Raw genomic sequence first — 23,552 nt, forward strand, 5'->3', positions numbered from 1 at the left:
ATTATTGACTGATTATGCTAATCTTATGGAGAGTGTCATTAGATATTGAACAAAGTTGCAACTCCTCATGTGAATACTAAGGATGTTCTCAAACACATTTTCAAAACCCAAGAGGGAAATAAACCTTCTCTTGCATCCCCTATCTTTTCTCACCATGGCCTGTGAGCAAAATTGATTTTTTCTCCCCCAATTCTGTTATATCGGAGGTGGTGGCTCTCTCTCATTAGTTAATCCCATCTTCCTCCACCCAAAGCATAACCATATTCTATAGGATAATTCTGAAAAAGAGCTGACCTCCTGCTTTGCCTTAATCTGCCTCAATTAAGATGAGATAATCAGAAACATAACTTTAAAATATTTCTATAAATGACCAAGACCATTAAATGCAATTAGAATTATAATAATTTAAAGCATATTTGAACCCAAGGGCTTGTGTAATTTAACATCACTATTTTCCATACAAACAAAATGAAGCTCTGAGAGTCTAAATGACATGCCAGGCTTGTGCTCATTCAAGACATCCCATTACCTCCCACCAATATTATGCCATTTTAATCATGAATTTAGTTACTATTAGTTGGCAATTCTGTAATATGTGGCCAAAACCAAGGCAATAGATAAAACCACTATTTGATATAGGGCTTGCCAGAGCTACATTGAATATTGAGACAACTGTCTTGTCAAAACTTAACCAAAATATCTAAATATTGAAGATTATTTTAATTTTAGTTCCCATATTATCATTAGGAACTTATACGTTTATGTGAAAGCTGTTCTACCAAACTTAAATCATTGATTTCTATTTATCTTATAGCTAATGTATGATGTACAGGTACATAGAAACTGGTATTTCTTGCAATATAAAGCATCATTTATAAGCAATATTATCTTCATTTGCATAAATATTCTTAAGTTTTATGAAATATTAAAGTGTTATAGAATGCAATATAGTTAATAATGTGTGTTTCATTTATTGACACTTTGGAATCAGTGCTGGCAGCACAGGAAGTATAAGTTAAAAATTAGTGATATAATTAATCACATCATAAAAATATTAAAAATAAATATTTGAGAAAGAACCAGATATTCTTGCTGAAGGAGATTTAGCAACTGTTCTAAATTTTTAGGAAGCTAAATTAGCTGGGTCCTTTAGACTTCCTTGGAAGTCTCTTTTCTGTTCCATTTGTCTGTGTGTCAGAAAGCAAAAACTGACAAATTGGATCTAATTAAACTAAAGAGCTTCTGCACAGCAAAAGAAACTCTCATCAGAGTAAGCAGGCAACCTACAGAGTGGGAGAAAATTTTTGGAATCTATTCATCTGACAAAGGTCTTATATCCAGAATCTACAAAGAACTTAAATTTACAAGAAAAAAACAAACAACCCCATTAAAAAGTGGGCAAAGGACACGAACAGACACTTCTCAAAAGAAGACATTAATGTGGCCAACAAACATACGAAAAAAAGCTCAACATCACTGATCATTAGAGAAATGCAAATCAACACCACAATGAGATACCATCTCACACCAGTCAGAATGACGATTATCAAAATGTCAAGAAACAACAGATGCTGGTGAGCTTGTAGAGAAATAGGAATGTTTTTATACTGTTGGTGGGTATGTAAATTAGTTCAACCATTGTGGAAGATGGTGTGATGATTCCGCAAAGATCTAGAACCAGAAATGCCATTTGACCCAGCAATCCCATTATGGGGTATATACTCAAAGGAATATAAATCATTCTATTACAAAGATACACACACATGTATGTTCATTGCAGCCTTATTCACAATAGCAAAGACATGGAATCAACCCAAATGCCCATAAATCACAGACTGGATAAAGAAAATGTTGTACACATACACCGTGGAATACTATGCAGCCATAAAAAAGGAACGATATCATGTCCTTTGCCGTTATCCTCAGCAAACTAATGCAGGAACAGGAAACCAAACACCGCATGTTCTCACTTATAAGTGGGAGCTGAACAATGTGAACACGTGGACACAGGGAGAGGAACAACACACACTGGGGCCTGTCTGGAAGTGGGGTGGGGGGAGGAAGAGCATTAGGAAAAATAGCTAATGTATGCTGGGCTTAATACCTAGGTTATGAGTGCAGCAAACCATCATGGCACACGCTTACCTATGTAACAAACCTGCACATCCTGCACATGTATCCCCTGGAACTTAAAATGAAAATAAATAAAAGAAGTCTTATAAAATCATTTTCGTAAATGTAACTAAATTCCAAAAATTAAAGATTTATTCTATTTATAAATTGGGCAGGATTGTATTTATCACTCATATTTGTAATTACTTATTTAAAAATAAGTTGATTTTATTAAAGAATGTCAACAATAATATATTTTATTTGCTTTTTGGACCTCAGGTGCAGAGAGCTCAATTACTCCTATTTCTCATATTAGCAGCCTATGCAAGGCTCCATTCTTTTTTATTTAATTTTTAAAATACTATTTTATGTTTGCTCATTTGTCTCAATGTCCACACTCACTTCCTCCCCACCATATATTACCACCATGGTACTTACTATTTTGTGTTATATCCTAATACATGTTTGTATCCTTGACAAATATATTATTTGTTTTAATATTAACGAATAATATTCTGCTATAGTTCTTGTGTTTCTTCACTTTTTTTTTTCAATAACACCCCCCCTTTTTTTTGAGACAGGGTCTTGCTCTGTCACCCAGACTGAAGTGCAGTGGCATGATCTCGGCTCATTGCAACCTCCACCTCCTGGGTTCAAGCAATCCTCCTACCTTAGCCTCTAGAGTAGCTGGGACCAAAGGCATGTGCCACCATGCATGGCTTTTTTTTTGTATTTTTTGTGCAGACAGGGTTTTTGCCATGTTGCCCAGACTGGTCTTGAACTCCTGGATTCAAGTGATTCTCCCGCCTTGGCCTCCCAAAATGCTGGGATGACAGGGGTGAGCAATCGTGCCCAGCCTAATAAGGCCTTTTTAAAATGTATTCTTAGACTCTATATGCAACTAATTAATTGTTTCTTAGTGCTGCATAGTATTCATAGTTTATTCAACTTTAAAAAGAATCCACTTTCACTCATCTTACTTTTCTAGAATGTCTACTATTTTCCTATTTATCAAAACACACCTATTTTTAATGGAATATTTTTTGGCTTTTGCCAGTCATTTTGAAAAAGGCTTCATAAGAGAATCATTAGGAAATAAAAACCAGCAAGTGATATATTGAAAACAGTCTAGGCGGTGATTCTTCAATATTTCTTTTCACACTCTCTGGAGTTAGCAGTGGGTGTTAGCAAGCGTGGATTCAATCCCCAAACTGTTCTCACAGTAGCTCTGATCTTTCATTAGTCACTTAATGCACCTGGCCAGCCCCGCCCGGCCTTCCCTAAGGCCCAGCTGACCGCCATGCGTCTCGCCTCCTCCCCACCTCGCGGCCGGCAGCAGCCCTCCAGGTTTGGCTCCATGGATTGATTCTCTCAGAGCAGCTGCTCGGGGCCGACCTACACCAGGCCTGCCGACGTCTCCCCTGGGAGCCTCCCTGGCCCGGGCCAGACATCCGGCACCCGGAGCCCCGTCAGGCGGTCAGCATCAAGGAGGCTAGGTCCTCAAATCGGCCTGCGCCGGAGAGGACAGTGGCTGCCTTCACCATGGGGCAGGTCGACGCCTTGGAGGGCGTCTTCCGGCACCACCAGTACCTGGGCCCTCTGGAGCCGGCAAATGCAGGACTCCCAGCTGCACAGCCCCTTCTCGGGGTCTCTCCACGCGCCCCCGGCTTTTCACTCACCGTCTTCTGGCCTTGCCAATGGCCTGCAGCTGCTATGCCCTTGGACACCCCTGCCCAGGCCCCAGGCTCTGATGCTGCCCCCTGGCTCCTTCTGGGGTCTCTGCCAAGTGGAACAAGAGGCCCTAGCCTCTGCGTGGGCTTCCTGCTACGGGCATCCTCCGCCGCCGGCGTACCACTCCCCAAGCCCAGGAAGTGGCGTGCATACGCTGGGACCAGCCCTCTCCAGGGGGCCGTGGGGCTTGTGTGTTCTTCTGGAGACCGGGGGGATGCATTTTGAGGAAGCGCCTCTGACTCCATGCCTCCCACACACGCGGTCTGTGCAGCTAACACCAGGCGCCTACCCGGAGGACTCAGCTGTTCTGTTTACATCGTGGCGGCACCTCTCACCCTGACCCACGCAAAGGTTCTGGAGATTTCTGGAGAATATATTTATTAAAGCCACCTCTTCACTGAAAGTTACCAAAAGGGTCAGTTTAGGAAGTAAATGAAGGGTCAGTGAACAGAGTCAAACGCAGAAGTGGGCTTGTTATGGGTAGGGCTTTCAGCATATGATAAAAGGATATTTGTTTTTTAAAGTGTTGGAAAAACTGGTTTTCTACTTGGAAAAAGTAAAGGTTGTAAGCTTTGTGTGTAAAAAAGAAAACCATGAAGGATTGGAAGGGAATGCAGGTGTCGTGTTTATAACCTTGTGGTTCGAGTCCCTCTTAACAAGGACTCCAAAGCTGGAAAGCAGGAGGGAACAAAGGTGAAAATTAAGGCGGGGATGCTCGGGCCCTGCAGTGCGCTCTAGGCTGTGCTTGAGCCGGGACTGTGCCCGCAGCCTGCTAAGGGCTGCTTTCTCGGGCCAGGGAAAGCGGGGCAGCGGGGGACCTGCGGCTGTGCCTGGACTGAAGCCGTCCCGCATGTCCCCACCCTCCAGCATGTGTTCACCTGTCCCCCTCCTCGCAGCAGCCTCAGGACAAAACAGAATGACTCAAGGACAGCACTTCCTGCAGAAAGTCTAGAAGTGCCCAGAATGGGAGGCACGGAAGCCCCTCCCAGGGAGGACTCTCCCTCATTGACGGACCATTCTTGGTGCAGATTCCTGACTGCACGCACCGAACCGTAGACAAGCGGGCATCCATCCATGTTGCCCCAGAGTGCCCAGGAGGCAGGCAGCGCGGGGCGCCCAGACAGACGGGTTCAGCCTGCAGGACTGCGAGGCGACCTGTGAAACCGACCCAGGCATCCCAACAAGAACAAAAGCGTGGTCCTGTGGCCGTGTCCACAGCAAGTTCCACTTTCACCTTGCTCATTTCTGCATTGTTGGAAGTGTTTACAACCAGCATGTGCTTTCATAATACAACCTCAGGTAAGAAAGGAAAAAAATTATAGTTGTATCATACCTCAAATACGTTTTTAAGTTCTACAATTTAAGCTACTCTAGAATAGTTAGAATAGTTAGAAAATGGAAATTTTGCTTAATGGTGTTTCTAATATGAAGGGTACAAGAATTGTGGTAGGCTCTAACTGTTGGCATTAATGGCATTTTTCTTCATAGAAACATGCAAAAAACAACCAGTGTTAGATTTCTAGAATGATCAGACCTATGCATATGTACTTAATTGTATTAACCTTGTTGATAATGTTAAATGGTAACATAGAGTTAACCTTAGAACATTTCCTAACAATTGATGTCTTTGAAACAATTATTTCTGAGGACAATACAGGTAATCTGCAGTAGCTGAAAGCAAATTTTGGAGTAAGGTAAATTTAAGTTTAAATCCTCATGTTGTCACTTAAAAATTATTTGACTGTTGACAGGTTATTAAATCTCTGTGTATTTTGTCACATGTGAAGTAAGGATAATGGAATCATTTTGTATAAGTAAAAGAAAATGTCGTGTAGTTATTCGTTGCTCAAAAACATACCATGAATCATTGGAAGGCAGGGACTGTGACCTACTTTCCTTTTCATCCTTTCATCTTAGAATAATGTCTGCTAAGGTACTTAATGTATGCTCTCTGAAAAATGAGTGAATTAATGAATCTTAATGTGTCTTTTTCATGCCCTCATAAATATGCATGTTTAAATGCAATGAATCTTACTACATAAGCATTGTTTGGTAGCTAGGCACTCAATACACATTATTTCTACTTTCTCAAGGCATGTAGAACTGAATCGTAATCAATGATCAAACCATAAGTATTCTGTATCTTTAGTAAAGGCTGTGAATAAAGAGTAGCATTACTTGTTCATTCATTTGAACCTTTATTGCATGAACACTTTGCATCAGATAATATACCAGCAAATGTACTAGTGTTGTTGTTGTTTTGGACATTTGGAAATTTCTGTTTGTCTTCATGCAGATAAAGTATCTTGGTAGTAATTATTTTTTTCACATGAACATTTGAAAACCTGTAGAAAAGGCCGATACCTTTTGCTCAGAGATACCTAAAATATATTACAGGGTAATAAAATAAATCAACTAGATCAATAAGTTTGGTATTGTTAATTTTAAAGTAACTTTATTTTATAATTGACATGTGTAGTTTGACAAATTAAATGCAATACCAAGCTTAAAATAAAAATACAGTGATACTGTCCCATCATTCCCCAGTCTTACTTTTCTATCCTGGGGGCAAACACTTTTGAATCTTTCAGTTGCTTAATTTGGCATTTATATATCTCCATAGTTTTATATAATATGTAAATATAGCTATTTTGATTTATAAATGTTAATTATTATCAAACTTCAAGTTTTAGCAGAAGTGTGGTGATGAATCAGTTTTAAATCCATCTCTCCTAAAAACTGTAGATAAATATACACACATACTTGTGTGCATGCACACATAACACATGAAGAGTGCTTACAGTTACTACACTGATTGACTTCATCTTCTGGTAAGTTATAGATGAACTCTTTCATGATGCCAGTTCTATGTTTTTCCTCTTTCCAATGCCTGCTATTGTTATGAAAATTTTGGTTAAATCGATATTGAATAAACATCATGCATTCATCTGGACTAGTGCTATTTATGCCTGCTGCACACTTGTTACCTGGTACCCTCTCATAATCACGATCTTGTAAGTTTTCTTTAAAATTTTCCTATATAATGTTGCTATTTCTTCTTCTTTCCTCACTTATTGGCTTATGTTATTAGAGGGTATCCTTTGGTTAATTACTGTAAAAAAAAGTGCATGGGAAGTATATTTTTGAGATATTTGATTGTCTGAAAATATTTTTATTTTCCTCGCACATGCTTTATTCATAGTTATACTACATTTTTAACACATTGCTCTGATGTCTTCTGTTGTTGTTGTTGTTACTGTGTTACTATCGAGATGTGCAAAGCCATTCTGATTACAGATTCTTTGTATGTGGTATTCATTTTTCCTTTCAGGAATCTCATAGAAACTTTTTTTTGTCTCCACTGTTCTGAAATTTTACAATGACCTTATTTGGAATGAATGTGTTTTCATCAAGTCTGCTGGATATTCAGTGGATACTTTCAAACTGAAAATTCATGCGTTCTAATTCTGGGAATTTTCTTAAAGTATTTGCTTATTTCCCCTCAAGCATTTTCTCCGTTTTCCCTTTTTAAGATGCTTATTATTCAGCCATTAGGCTTCCTGGAACAGTGTGCTAATTTTCTGCTTTTGTTTTCTTTGTTTTTTGCCCTAGTCTTGGAGATTTGCCTGATTTTATGTTCCAACCCATCCTCTGCTATTTTTATTTTTCCTATTATGCTGTGTCAGGGGAGACATCATTTGGGGAGACAGAAATTATGCCCCTTTTGTGAATAAAGGCAATTTAATAGAAAAAAATTGTTAACTACCTATAAGATTGTTGACTAGGTAACTGAAAGAGTAAAAAGAAAACTCATAAAGTTAGTAGCTATAAGAAGGGGCTACCAATCTTAGGACTAAAGGAATAAACACAAGATGTTGAACTAAAATCTGGAAATATACAAAAGGGGTCTGCTCTGATCTCTGAGAAGTACTCAGTTACTGTGGGTCTCTCTGAGTTCAGAGGAGAGCCCCTATTGACCTGTGAATGAAGCTTTCACTGTACTTTCAAATTCAGTATCACCTAACTTTCAAATTCGAGGAGGGGATGCCAGTGGACTAGTACTGATGTTTCTGATGGGGCAGGACATGGTGAAGCTAGTTTTGCCAGTGTTGGAAAAAAACTGCAAACTAGATTTGACTGCTGCTATTAGAAGAAAGAGCTGCTGCTAGGGTGTAGAAGTATTGTGGAAAAGCAAAAGGGAACAAGTAAACCATTTGTCCTTGCTCCAACCTCACAGTTGCCCTCTCATCCTCCTCGTAATGAAGCCTAACAGGGAGCAGCTGGCAAAACAGAAATGGGGTTTGCAAAGTCTCTGTTTCAACATCACAGAGCAGATTATACAAGGACAGGCCTGGAGCTGAGAAATAATAACTTAAACACTCTTATTGTTTTCTGAACATTTCTTTCTTTTTAATAACATTCTGGTTTGATGTCATAGGTGCAATATTTTCTCTTATCTCTCTGTAGGTATTGAAGTTTTCTTCTCCCTGTATGGTGAGTGGCTACCCCTCCAAGTTATACTTTTTTCTTTTTTTGTTCTTTGTTGTTTGTGTTTTTATTACTTTTTGTCTTCCTCTTCTTTATCTTTTTTTCCCTCATTTATCATATTCTATGCCAGAAACTTTCTGGGAATACCTTGGCATCTACCTATCTTATAATTGGGAAACTAAAACTTTGAGTGTGGGGGAGAAGCTTAATAAATGTAAGCTTTATTTTAGATCAATCTGAATAAGGAGTTCTCAGGGAAATCATGGTGAGAGTATCTTTAGGTTTTCCTTTTTGAGCTGGTTAATTCCCCAAAGGATTCTTCCAGTCTTCTGTCTGAACCATAACATTCTGCCAGTGAGCTCAGTAGGGAAAGAGTTCTATGATCTAATCATTCTAATAAATCAGTTACTACCCATCTGCCTGCTTACATATTTTTCTTTTCCTTTGTTTTTCTGTTTACCTATTTCCTTGGGTGTATATCCACGAAAATATCATCAATGTACTAATATGGTAATAATTATAATATTACAGTGACAATTTATATTTTAACAGATGTATTGTTATATTTGATCTGCTTATTAATAATATACACAAAAAAGATTTCAAGTGAAGCAATAATCATTTTGGTCTAAAGAGTTTTTGTAACTATTCTTCTAACATCTTGTACTTCTTAATGGCCTTTAAAAATATTTGCAAAGTTTATTTTATACATTTTCAGGGTAGCAAAATTATAATACCATTTGATACCATTCTCTTTACTTTCAAACACAAATTGCCTAAGACAGATATTTCTTATAAGAATTTTGTAAAATACTCAACAGAATCCTGAAATGCCTAAGGCTAGAGGATTTACTCTATTTAAAATTTGATTCAAAAAACAACAAAATAAAAACACTTTATAGTGTCACCTAACTTTCAAATTCTATGCTGCTGTGGAGGGTAAATTTTATTCAAGCCTCTGTGTCTACTGCAAGTAATCTCTGTGTATCACACAGGTTATGAAAATGGCAGGAATTTTTTCTCAAGAAAGTCATCATTAACCATGACTGATACCTTAATAATGCCATAGATATAATTATAGTTTAATTTGGAATTGAATTTCAATTAGTTCTTCTGTAAGAAATGAGCTATTATTATCAAGCAATATCAGAACCTCAAAAATCTCATTTGTATTTGTTTTTAAATCGATAAAATGTGGTTTTGGCGTCTCAACACTTTAATATGAGATATCTATTTTGAGATTTAGCTGGTGAGAAATGTTATTGGAAAGCAGCACTGTTAGTAGTAAATAAATTTGCATTCAGATTTGACCCTACAATGATTCAGATAAATGTAAATTCTGAGTGTAAACATTATGGGCTCATTTCTTGGCTCATATGCTCTTCTTATACATCCAGATACATAATTTGAATTTCCCATTCCAGAGACAGTATTCAATATAATATCAAAGAACAAACTGATTATTATATCTAGACATAATATCTAATCTACAGCTATACAAAATAGCCACAATTATTTTAGGATAGTAATTAAAATAGATATTTGTTAAACAATAGGCATCAGACACTTGCTCAGATTGTATGTATTGTTATTGCATTTAATCATCACAACAAAATAGTGATGTTGATTATGCTATTACCCCCAATTATACAGATGAGAAAAATAAAGGTTAGGGAGCTTTGATGTCTTGCCCAAAATGTATGCAGCTTGAAAACAGATAATGCAATACTGGAAAGCTTATTGTTGAGTTCACGATATAAAATAAATTTGCTATAGCAATATGTGTGTGTATGTATATGATAACATCTTGTCTTAATATCACTGTTAGCAAAATCAACTTCCAATGATACTATCTGAGGTAGGCAAACTAATAAACTCACAAAGACATCCACATTCTTGTCTCCAGAACCTGTGAGTATGTTAAATTACACTATAAAGGAAAATTAAGTTTGCCAATAGAATTAAGGTTGCTTATCAACTGACCTTGACATGGAGGAAATTATCTTGGATTATCTCTATGGGTTCAATGTAATCACAAGGATTCTTTTAGATAGAAGAGGGAAGCAGAGGAGAAAGAGCCAGAGGGTAGCATGGGATAGACTTGGCCTAATAGTTCTGTCTTTGAAAATGGAGTAAGAAGGCCATAAGCCAAGCAATGTGGGTGGCCTCCAGAAGCTGAAAAAGGCAAGGAAATTGATTTCCCCTAGAGCTTCTAGATAGGAATGCAGCCCTGCTGACATCTTGATTTAAGCCCAGCAAAACATGTTTAAGACTTCGGAAGTACATAACTGTAAGATAATAAATTTGTGTTGCTTTAAGACAGTAAGTTTGTAGGGATGTTACAGCAGCAATAAAAACCTAATACATCATCTTAAAAGGGAACAATAAAGAGCTAAAAAGTACTCAAGGACAAGCTTTCAAAGTCAGTCTCAGTGCTGCCTTATGAAGAAGTAGGGCACTTTATACTAGTAAAAATGTGTCCTGCTTTTTTATATAGTTGGCACAATTTTTACATATATAGGATGCCCTAACAGACTTTGCTAAAGCTGTAATTGAGAAATAAGACATACAAACAAGTACTTTGCATTTAGCTTATTATCTAGCAGTTGTGTCACACTATTTGTGTATAATGGGAAAAGTGTTCTCTTAAAAATATCCTTCAAAATTTACCATTTTTTTACTCAATCTATAGTAGAATTTCATTAAATCATGCTGTATTATAAAGAACAATTATAAATTGTTTTTCCCATTAATCTGCCAGCAATTTCTACAATAATGCCCCATAACAAAATACCTCAAAACTCAGTGGCTTGCAATAACACATTATTTCTCAGCCTTATATCTAAATATTGGCCTGTACCATTTTGTTTCAAGCTGCTTGCATGTCTGTAGTACATTTGGAGGCCTCTGTCTGCTTCAGGCTCTAAGTCAAATTCAGGTTTTCTCCATGGGTCTTATTCTGAGCCTAGGATAAAGGGGCAGTGGGTATCTAGGCAATATTTTTTCTCATGGTTGTAGTCATAAGCTACCAGATGGGTAGGAAGAAATTTATGAGGCCTCTTTAGTTCTTAATTTGAAACTCACACACTGCCATTTCTGCCTATTTTCCATTGTCCAAAACAAGTCATCTGGGCATGCCCAAAATCAATGGACAGGGAAGTATACTCCTCACTTGGAGGTAGAGAAAGGGGAGGGAACAAATATTAATTGAACAATGATATAATGTGCAATACCCTACATTAATAAAAATGGATCTCAGCTAAAGTATGAATTATTTTTATGATTTTCTAAGTATTGATATTAATTATACTATCAGTTAATTATCTAGTGGCAGATGTCTATTTAACCATAAAGAGTTTGAATATTATAGTGAACCAAGCTATATCTTGTGATTTTCGTTCAAAATTATTCTTTTTTTGTTTTTTTGTTTTTGTTTTTGTTTTTGTTTTTGTTTTTGTTTTTTTTGAGACGGAGTTTCGCTTTGTCGCCCAGGCTGGAGTGCAGTGGCACGATCTCGGCTCACTGCAACCTCCGCCTCCCGGGTTCAAGCAATTCTTCTGCCTCAGCTTCCTGAGTAGCTGGGAATACAGGTGCACATCACCACGCCTGGCTAATTTTTGTATTTTTAGTAGAGATAGGGTTTCACCATATTGGCCAGGCTGGTCTCAAACACCTGACCTCGTGATCCGCCCGCCTTAGCCTCCCAAAGTACTGGGATTACAGGCGCGAGCCACCATGCCTGGTCAAAATTATTATTATTTTTTGGTTCAAAAAAAGCATCCCATGTGCTTTATTACCCTGGGGGAGAACTATTATAAATGGAATGGAAATGGTCATTCATATTTGTATCTTAGTATGGTTATACCTCTCCTATAAAAGGCTAATAAAAAGACAAGCATGATTGCATTTATAAATATGAAAATGAGAAACTCATCTTGGAAATGAAATATATTTTTTCAAGAAATTATTTTTTAAAACAACTTCCTGAGAATTCAGTATAATGGCCAATTAATAGTCTTTGATAATAGAGGAAAGTCTTAATTTTATCTTTGAACTGTAGAGAGTTTTGTTGGAATGTAACAAGTAGATTCTTTTCTATATGGGAACCAAATATGTCTATTTTAAGAAATTATTTTTAGTGCTTCAGAATATATATTAGTTTGGCCAGAACCTTGTAGTCTAAAATCGGCCACTCTGCTAATGGTTTTATAATGCTCTCCAGCTAATTGGAAAAAAAAGTAATAGTGTTGCTCATCAGCAATAGTAAGCATTAGAGATTACACTCTGTGATCTTGGTAAGTGATACTCTTAATATATAAAAATACTCATGTGTTTGAATTTTTATCATATCCTAAGTAAAGAAACCATAACGATCGCATTTTATTATTTATTTTGTCTTTCATCAAATAAATTCAAACCAGTTTCCTTAGAAAGTGTCCCTATTTTAAGTTCACCTTTGTTATAACATTTAATATTTTAAAAAATTTTGTGGGTACATGGTAAGTGTATATATTTATGGGGTACCTGAGATGTTTTATGTTATATCAATTTTAAACATGGTACTTTTGTTTAATCAATAGAAAGTTAAATATTACCTAACAAGACATGAACTCTCATGAGTTAGTAGGAAACTTATAGTCTAAAATCTAGCTCATCTGCCCGTTTACTCTTTATCTTTCATAAGGAAAATTAAGTCAAGAGAATATATAACTTCCACTATAAAAATGTTTGAGAAATTTACAAATATATCTTCAAATAATTCAGGTTTTCTTATTGAATTCTATGTGGATGCTCTTCCTTTACAAGTCCTGTCCACAGCCAACCCATAGACTTTTAGCTTTGGTACTCTCACTGGTTGATCTCACCCATGATGTAGTGAGTCCCCTTCTCAGTATGCATACTTGGTTCCTGAATTCATTCCCACTGGTTGACCTAAACTTTCCACCTAACTGATAGGGTAGCAGGATCAAAGAGCATGCACGTTACAGCTAAGCATTTGTGTTAGATGCATATACATTATTTTAACTGATCCTCTTTACGATAGACATTACCTGAAATTTTTCTAGAATTAGAAGAAAAGTGAACCATCATTCAACAATTCTCTTCTCTCCCCTTTTTTACAATACTATTTTATCCTATTTTAAAAATAATGTTTACTTGAACAAAGATTTTTGGTGGATTCTCTTCCTTAATTTACCCCTTAAGAATGAGTATAGCCTAGTTATTTGTTTTTACTCTTTATCCGTTTATTTCTATATATTTATCATGGAGAACTTTAATAAAATCCCAAACCTCAATCACCAAAACTTCATGCTAATGATTTACAGACTTTAACCCTAATTAAGGACTATCTCCAAAATTTTATCTATCTATTCATCTCTCCATTAGATTGCACTATCCATACACACTGCAATTGAGCATTTTTCAAATTGAATTTTTGTGCCTTCTTTCTTTCTTTCTTTTTTCTTTTTTTTTTTTTTCAGATAGAGTCTCTATTGCCTAGGTTGGAGTGCAGTGGCATGATCTTCGCTCACTGCAACCTCCGCCTCCCGGGTTCAAGCAATTCTTCTGCCTCAGCCTCCCAAGTAGCTGGGACCACAGGCGCACGCCACTATGCCCAGCTAATTTTTGTATTTCTAGTAGAGACAGGGTTTCACCATGTTGGCCAGGCTGGTCTCAAAATTCCTGACCTCAGGTGATCCACCTGCCTCAGCCTCTCAAAATGCTGGGATTACAGGGGTGAGCCATCGCGCCCAACCCTCTTGTTTCATTTGTCCTTATTTCACTTAAAGCCATCACTATCTGCCCAGTCACCTCAGCTGAAGGCTTTGGACTCATCCTACATTCCTCCTTTTGTCTCACCCTCTACAAATTTCTGCAGATTGCTCCTCTATTTATTTTTTAAATTGTTCAACCTTACAATCTGTACTTTGACTATTTTTCTTCAGACCACCAAGCAAGCCATTTCATTGTGCATTTTATCATGAGCTCAATTTAATATGTGACTCCATGGTAATGCAAGATATCTACTTTTTATTTTTAATTTTTCTGAATGTATAGTAGTTGAACATATTTATGGGGCACATGTGATTTTTTGGTACAAGCATACAATGCATAACTGTTAAATTGTGGGTAATTGAAATATCCATTACCCCAAACACTTATCATTTCTTTGTGTTGGGAACAATCCAAATATTCTCTTCTAGCTATTTTGAAATATAAAATAAATTATTGTTAACTACAGTTGACCTATTGTACTATCAAAAAGTAGTGCTTATTCCTTTTATCTGACTGTATTTTTGTACCCATTAACCCACCCCTTTTTACTCCCCACTACCATTCCCAGCCTCTGATAACTGCCAGTCTATTCACTACCTCCATGAGGATCAATTCGTTTAGCTCCCATATATGAGTAAGAACGTGATATTTGTCTTATTGTGCCTAGCTTATTTCACTTAACATAACATCCTCTGGTTCCATCCCTGTTGATACAAATGCCAGGATTTCATTCTTTTTATGACTGAATAATATTTCATTGTGTATATATACAACATTTTCTTTATACATTCATGCATTGATAGATACTGAGGTTGATTCAATATTTTGGAATGCATTTTGGTAGGTCATTATAAAATGATAAAGGGGTCAATTCAGCAAGAGAATATAACAATTATAAATATATATATATATGCAACCAGCGTCAGAGCACTGAAACCTATAAAGCAAATATTAATAGATCTAGAGAAAGAGATATACTGTAATATAATGCTGGATAGCTTCTGTTTGCCAACTCCTGCCAGATCCACCCCACCTTCTCTATTTTGCTCTATGCCCTGTGAGATGGACATTTATGGACTAGATCTACAGGGTTCTTGTCATCTGGCTTCTAGATGAGTTCTAATAGGAAGCTTAGGAAGAAGACTGGAGCTGTGTAGGGAATCAACCTTGGAATATTTATTAGCCAATTTCTCTCCTTACTGAATCTCCATGTATTGTCTTCATGTCTTTACCAAAGGCCACTGTTCCTGTCAGGTAATTTTTTCCATATAGTTACTTCTCTTGGGAACACTTACTTCATTTGCCCCTTCAGGTCTTACAATGATTACAGCTGGTGGCTGGTATAACCACACTATCCTTTTTTGTTTCCAAATACTCTGTCAATGCCTTTGTAAATAGTCCCTGTTTTAATACTTTCTACATTTTGTTTGGGTGTGTCACCTGCTCTTTATTGGGACTTGGCTAATTAATCCTCTTACCATCCATGTGTCTCTTACCATCCATGGCCAAGTTAGTTAATTTCAATAAGCCTTAATTTTCTCATTGCTAAAATACAAATATTAGTCTCTTCTTCACATGGTTTTCATGAATATTAAATAAGATTGTGTATTAAAGTGCTCAGTGTAGTATCTAATATACAGGCTCAACCATATGAAACTGTCATTTTGGCAGATCAGATAGTTGTATCTTAACAATTTTATGTGGTTCAAACCGAGTAAGTACAAGAAGTGTTAAGTTTTATTATCAATACCCTCATTTCTCTTTCTCACCTGATTTACTATATAAACTTTCCAACTTACTCCTAATGCTGCCCTTAGCTTCTATATGTTTCTTAAATATGCCTGATTATTTCCTTCATTAGAAGTTCATGGAGTTCTCTCTGTCTCTCATGCATTCACCAAAGATGGGTGTCCTCCCTTTTTTCATGTGTCAGTTTGAATGCCACATCCACAGAAAGGCCTTCATGAACTCTCCTAGGTAGCTCCCACTTGGTATTTTTATTCTCAGAGATTCCTGTCTGTGCCTGCCAAAAATTTTATAATTTATAATGATGAATATTTGTTACTTTTTCCTTGTTTATCCTTGTCCATTTATGTATAAAATCAAAGAAGGAAGGAATGCTATTCTATTCACTCATTGTACAGTCAGCCATAAGGCAGTGCTTGGCTCTCCCTAAGTATCTGTTGAAAGTGTTGAAGAATAGTTACATAGAAAATAATAAAGGAATATTTAAAAACATAGATATGATATGTCCTTTTTGACCTTGAAATTATTCACTGGTTCCACCTAAACGCAAAAATAAAAATGAAAAGTTTAGAATCAGGCCTTACCTCCTTCATTGGTTTCTCCTCTCACCACACTCTTAAAAACACCTTTTGTTCAAACTATAATAAAGCATTTACAATATAAATCATATGTTTCAGTCACATATTGTTTTCTTCACTTATTGGCTTCTGAGCCTGAAGTGACTATCCTCCCTTCTATTCTTAGCTAAATTATGATTATCCTTTAAGACTGTTCAAGTATCCTCTTTTCAAGGTAGTGTTATGAATCTCTCAGTGTGATTTAGGTATCCCTCATTTTTGTTCTCTTAATAACTTGGCATAAATTTTACTCTTGCCAAAACATGTTGCATTGTTTATTTGTATATTATTTTCTCTATATTTGAGTTCTGTAAAGATAATGGGCTATACTTAAGTTGTCAGTGAACCTCTATTTATGGCACAATGCATAACAAACTGTTGGCACTCCACATATAGTACTGTTATAATACAAAAATATCTTCTAGGCTTTATGTTAGCTGCTAAAGATTAACCATAGGAATGTAACCTATTCCCTTCCTACCTGGACAACAGAGGATGGGTGATGAATGACCTCTACCTGATTATCTTATAAACATACTTCTGATCTAGATTGCTTATTATAAATAAACAATAAGCATGGTTGGCTGGAGAGTAGGAGTAGTCAAGTGAGCATTTTTCTATTTGTGGAGTTAACAGTGCATAAAAGGAAGGAGTCCCAAAACTCTAAAAAATTCATTTGTTAATCCAATAGTATAATTTTTCACAATTCACTAGAAAATGGAAAATTGACTATTTTGAACTATTCCAGAGACAATATTTTATCTGTATTGAGTCATTAGTATAGTTTGGTCCTAGGTAAGAACTATTATTAATGTGGGCCTGATTAAATAATTAAACCCTGTGTGGTAATACAGATGCTGTATCTGAGAAAGAAAACTGTAGATGGGAGTATTACTATATCATATTTTCAAGTGTCTACTTCAAGAGCCTAATTATAAAATAAGATAAAGAGGAGTAGGATTGGAGGGCTTTCAGAGCACATAGGTGTCAGAGAGGAAAAATAAAAGATAACAGTGAAAAGAAGAACGCACATCTACAGACCTAGGAGGTTAAAAAGAAATATTCAGGTTAAAAGGTTGTGTGGGTTTGGGAGAGAGAAATAGTCATGAATATATTGTGGCAAGTGTCAGAGAATGATTCAATATGGCCTCGAAAATCACCCATAAGTACCTTGAAAATCACCCATAAGTACAAAACAGCATTGATGTTTAATCCCAGTGAGATTTCTCTGAATTGCAGATTACTTGTTTGACTCCCGTGGCACTTGAAATGGTCAATTATTTTACTCCCTTTTGTCCCGTTCTGAAAGATCTGCTGTAATGATTATAGTAAAGAAAGTGGGTGGATGGAACAGGGAAGGAATAATAAAGTAAGGAGAATAATTTAATGTTCTTATTAACTAATTGATTAAAGTTGAAAGTATAGCTTCACCCATCCTTCTTACATATATATGTTTTCTTCTTAATAATCTTATTAGATGAAGAAGAGTGTTATTATAGATTAGAAATGTCAGATTTCTGCTCTCTGTTCTCCACCTACATAGATGAAAAACAGCCTCTCTATATCTTTCAGTTGAAACAGAATATTAGGAAAATGAGGGTTTATAGCCAAAATGTGATTTCCATTTATTTCATTTATATTAGATATACAACACCTAGAAAATTGAGGTATAATGATTCTTAAAATGAATTTTAAAATTCTATGACTTTCAGGTCACTGACTGTGACCCTGAAGAGGGAAATTATGAGGACCGTTAGAGAGATAGCATATAAGTGTATGATGACCACTGTAATCTAAGGTCAAATCTTAAATTTAGATAATGGTATCAGAGAAATACATATAGGGATGGCATCAAATAAAATTATTAATTTTTCAGAATTTCAGAACTTCATGTTTTAACTTTGTGGGTTTGCTTTCATCCTTGAAACATTATTGTCATATAAAGTTTCTATTTTTCTGAGTGTGGGCTACCCTGTCTTTTGCCGTAGTTTCAGTTTTATTTGTGTTTCAAATGAATATCTTTAATATATTTAAAAAGGCAATTTTTTTTCCTTTCATAGACTAAAGTAATAAAATATATTAGAGCTACAGATAAACTGATATTTAAATTTTCTATTTTATAGATTGTGAGAAAAGTATATGCACGTTCATATATCAAGACAGTGTGTTCATTGAACATAGTGAGGAAAAAAGCATCTTCTAAATATTGGCCATTACTATTATTATTAGGTTCTAAAACCTCTTTTCTCTGCTTTAATCAATGACCTACATATCTATTTTGTTAGTTGAGACACTTTAGTTTGCAAATGACACAGGTACAATTCAAACTATTTTAAGCAATAAAGAAAATCAGTGGCTTATGTAACTAGAAAGCATAATTGCATTAGGCTAACTTTCTTTCTATTACTGCCTTCAGGCCTTCATCCTTCAATGGTGACCTAGTTCTAAGGCTTCTGTAGATGGAAGCACAAGAACCATCAGTGACTCTAGGTTTCCCTCATTATTTGCAACACCAGTTCCATGAAAAGTCTCACAAAGGGCTCCAACTGTTTAGCTTTGGGTTATGAGTCTATTTCCAAGCCAATCAATTTGCTTAGGGGTTAGGATGTTCTAACTGGCTAGGATCAGATTACGTGACTTCCCCTGGAACTTACAGGTCAGGTGAGCAACTGTTGAATCACCTGGAATGAGAATGGGAAATTGATGGCCCCCTCAACCAATTTTTAATAGATAAAACATTTCTGTCAGCTAATCTGTCAAAGTCCAAACATCCTTATATTCTTTAAAAGTTATCTTATAAAAGACATTTCAGACAGAGAGGCAAAACCTAGTATATGCATATATAATTTGAGTACAGAGCAATAGTTTTTCCTTTCTTCCTTTACTTTTGTCCTTTAAAAGTTATGAAGTTGAGATAACTGTGCACTTGTCCTTTCTTTTCCCTTGGCCTTCTTTTGCACTCCTTCCTTCCTTCTTTTCATTCTCCTTTCCTTAAGTAATATCTTGTTTGAGAAGATTTATTGTGAATTTCAGAGACAGGTATGTTATACCTATATGAAATATGAAATAAAACAAGGCCTGGGGCAGTGGCTCACGCCTGTAATCCCAGCACTGTGGGAGGCCGAGGCGGGCGGATCGCGAGGTCAGGAGTTTGAGACCAGCCTGACCAACATGGTGAAACCCTGTCTCTACTAAAAATACAAAAATTAGCCGGGCATGGTGATGCGCACCTGTAATCCCAGCTACTCAGGAGGCTGAGGCAGGAAAATCACTTGAACCCCGGGAGGCAGAGGTTGCAGTGAGCCAACATCACGCCATTGTACTCCAGCCTGGGTGACAGACGAGACTCCGTCTCAAAAAAAAAGAAAGAAACAAACAAAAGAAAGTAAAAAGGAAGGAAGGAGGGGAGGAAGGGAGGGAGGGAGGGAGGGAGGGAGGGAGGGAGGGAAAAATTCCGTCTAAGATAAAGTAAGATGGAGATTATTTCCATAAGATAAAGGCAATTAGTAAGACTAGTTTTTAAAAATGTCTTAAAATCCTGAAAGGTAATATATTCCTATTCTAAAAGGTAGTATATTCTGGATTCTAAGCATTCCATCAGTACAGTCAAAGAGGCAAACTAATAGTTATATGATTCAGAATGTACCTAAGAGGAAATTAAACAGTTCCTCAGAAGAAACACAGCTATTTCTGACTCAGACCAGAGAGATATTTCTTTCAAGAGCCCTCATAAAAAGGATACCATATAAAGTAATGTAAATATTTTCAACATTCCTCTAGTAAATGCAGCTGTTGGATTCATGAAATATTTGGGTTAAACATTACTATAATAAATACAGCTATTACATTTATAGTAATAATTCTCAGAAGTACATCAGTAGATGTTAGTCATTAAATAAAGAGTCTACAAAAGCTGGCTACAAAGGGGTTAATAGAACATGGGTCAAAAATCATAAGAGGACTTAAAAAGACTGTATTTTCTCTTAATGTCTCTAGTAAGCTATTGAAGATTTGTAACCATGGTAGTAATATTATCACATTTGATTTTTGAAAAATTATTCCATTAGCTTTTGGAAGAATAGATTGCGGGTTAACATTAGGGGTAAAGTCATAATTATATTAATCAAATAACAAAATAGAAAAGGAGGACTTCTTAAAGATGTTTTTGTACACTCAATTTCATTGCTTCTGGCCTACTAGTCTGCTTCTTTCTAACTCCTTCTGATTCTTCTTGGTCTGAGTCATCTCACTTAGGATTTGTTTTCTAATTCTTTTACTTTCTCTCAAAAGTCAGGTCCTGTTCCTCTGTGACCCTGCCTCACCTTGTGTATACACTTGTATATTAATATGTTTTGGTTTATCTATATTCCCCCTTCAGAGATTGTATCTTTGACTTCTGTATATATTAGCCAAGAGACATAATACACAATTACAAATAAATGAATGAACATGAAAATACGTAGGGATAGAATGCTAGTCATGTGAAGACCTGCTGAGCCTGTCAGTTTCCTATACTAATGAATTAAAAGCAGTAGAAAAATCCTTTTTTTTTTTTTTTTTTTGAGACAGAGTCTCGCTCTGTTGCCCGGGCTGGAGTGCAGTGGTGCGATCTCAGCTCACTGCAACCTCCACCTCCAGGGTTCAAGCAATTCTCCTGCCTCATCCTCCCGAGTAGCTGGGACTACAGGTGCCTGCCACCACGACTGGCTAATTTTTGTATTTTTGGTAGAGACGGGGTTTCACTGTATTGGCCAGGCTGGTCTTCAACTCCTGGCCTTGTGATCTGCCTGCCTTGGCCTCCCAAAGTGCTGGGATTACAGGCGTGATCCACCATGCTCTGCCAGAAAAAATCCTTTAATTGTTGTTTATGAGTGTGTAATTTGGACAAACGTAAACACATAGGAATCGTTTTCATAAACCACATCTTCTAGACTTGTTTCTTTTAAACATGTCTCATGAAAAAAACACAGTCAAAAATTTTCTGGAAAGACAACAGTAGCTCCATTTCATATTAAGGGATCAGGTATTTTTTTTTAAGTAGGGTATCTACCAAACAGTGTCAGAGAAAGCAAATTGTTTTCTAGCAATGAAAAAATAAATAACAGTAAACCTATTCTCTGATCTCCAAGTCAAGCCACTAGTTTTTTCCCCTACCACCTCAGCTCACAGTTTTTTAAGCCCAAGATAGCTTTCTCCTAGTACTCTATCTATCTGAAAGTCTAAACTTTTATCTGGCAAGATCATTCTCACAATTGAGTGAATCAAGGTATAATGGAAAAATTAAGCAGAGCTTATTGCATGTACTTTTAAATTTACTAATGTTTCTTTCATGTTTCCTTTCTTTAGGGGGTTAGTGGTGATAGTGGTAGCATTTAAGGACATTTGGAGATGGACTTATAATATTCCAGGTAGACAGTTATAACTGGACAGCTCGTTTGTACCTGCTCAAGTGTCTCTAGTTGCATCACTTACAAAGACTATTGATTATAATGGTGAATGGAAGTGTTTTACATTTCTTAAGTGAAAAAATGACTTTGAGCAAGATAACCATCTACTTCTTAGAGACCACATTGATCTCTATCAACATCTATAGATTTCACCTTAAACTCTGCCAATTTTCCAAGGATATTTGGCACTGGGTCTTAAGCAGACAGAGCAAAAGTGGTGAGATTTTGACATTGTCTTAAATTACAGTGATTCAGTTTGGATATGAAATATTGTGTAGGAATACAAAAAAGCAAATGCAGATGACATGGGGGAGAATATAATTTATTAAAAGTTTATCACTGTTAACACATACTTCAAGGATAATTTATAATACCTGAGAATTGTATAAAATGATATATAAAATAATGCTATTGTTATTGTAATCTATAAATTTGGAAGTGAATAAGAACTTCATGCAAGAGGTATTAGTCATCTGTTCTTACACATGGATTTTATTTTACATGTTACACATTAGTTATTTTTTGGAAAACTGGATAATCAATGGGTATTTTATTTTTTAAAATTTAATTATAGCTATCTTTTTTAACTTTAGAAGTTAAATATTTTGTTACACCTTTTTTGTCTCTTCAGTAAACAAAATCAACTGCTGAAAAACTTTGTCAAAGCAATTGTTCACTTGAGACTGCTAGATTCAGAATATTACTGAGAAAAATCTTGTGCCTCTCTGTGGGTATTATCTAGGTTAAATTCTGGGAGCAGGCAAAATGACTTTCCATTCAGGAGTGTGTTCTTGTGTTTTTTGTTTTGTTTTGTTTTTGTTTTTGTTTTTGTTTTTGTTTTGAGACAGAGTCTTACTTTATTGCCCAGGCTGCAGTGCAGTGGTGCGATCTTGGCTCACTGCAACCTCTGCCTCCCAGGTTCAAGTCTCCTGCCTCAGCCTCCCGAGTAGCTAGGATTACAGGCATGTACCACCATGCCCAGCTAATTTTTGTATTTTTAGTAGAAACGGGCTTTCGCATATTGGCCAGGCTGGTCTCGAACTCCTGACTTCAGGTGATCGGCCCACTTCGGCCTCCCAGAGTGCTGGGATTACAGGCGTGAGCCACTGCTCCTGGCCCAGGAGTATGTTCTTGTTAAGTGCCTTAATTTTCACCAGATAATGCCAAACCTTCCCTCAGCTATGTGGAGCCTTAAAGGGCATGGTTCTGCATCTCAGTGACAAAACAGAGTAGCTGTGCTCCTGAAGCTCCGTTGTGACTAACTTTAATTTCACTGCCATTTTTTATATCTATAAAAAGCCAGGCTGAGGAGCACAATGTTTATGTAAATGTGTAGTATAGTTTGCATGTTTGTCCCCTCCAAATCTCAAGTTGAAATGTGATCCCCAATGTTGAACGTGGGGCCTGGTGAGTGGCCTTTGGGTCATGGGGGAAGTTCCCTCATGAATGGCTTGGTGCCCTCCCTACGGTACTGAGTGAGTCTCACTCTGTTAGTTCACGTGAGAGCTGGTTGTTTAACAGAGTCTGGTACCACCCTCTTCTTGCTCTCTTCCTCTATCACCATGTGATGCGCTTGCTCCCCCTTCACTTTCCACCATGATTGGAAGCTTCCTGAGGTCCTCACCAGAAACAG

At 36.6% G+C, this 23,552-nt stretch overlaps 2 pseudogenes across 1 annotated transcript; both read left to right on the forward strand.

Moving 5' to 3' along the window:
• On the forward strand, positions 3,647–4,252 carry VENTXP8 (VENTX pseudogene 8; annotated as a pseudogene).
• On the forward strand, positions 4,075–6,790 carry VENTXP1 (VENT homeobox pseudogene 1; annotated as a pseudogene). The gene has a single exon (NR_001559.2). The product of NR_001559.2 is annotated as a VENT homeobox pseudogene 1 (transcript).
• The last annotated feature ends 16,762 nt before the right edge of the window (positions 6,791–23,552 follow it).

This window comes from Homo sapiens, chromosome X (assembly GCF_000001405.40).
Source record: "Homo sapiens chromosome X, GRCh38.p14 Primary Assembly".
NCBI classification, from domain to species: Eukaryota; Metazoa; Chordata; class Mammalia; order Primates; family Hominidae; genus Homo; species Homo sapiens.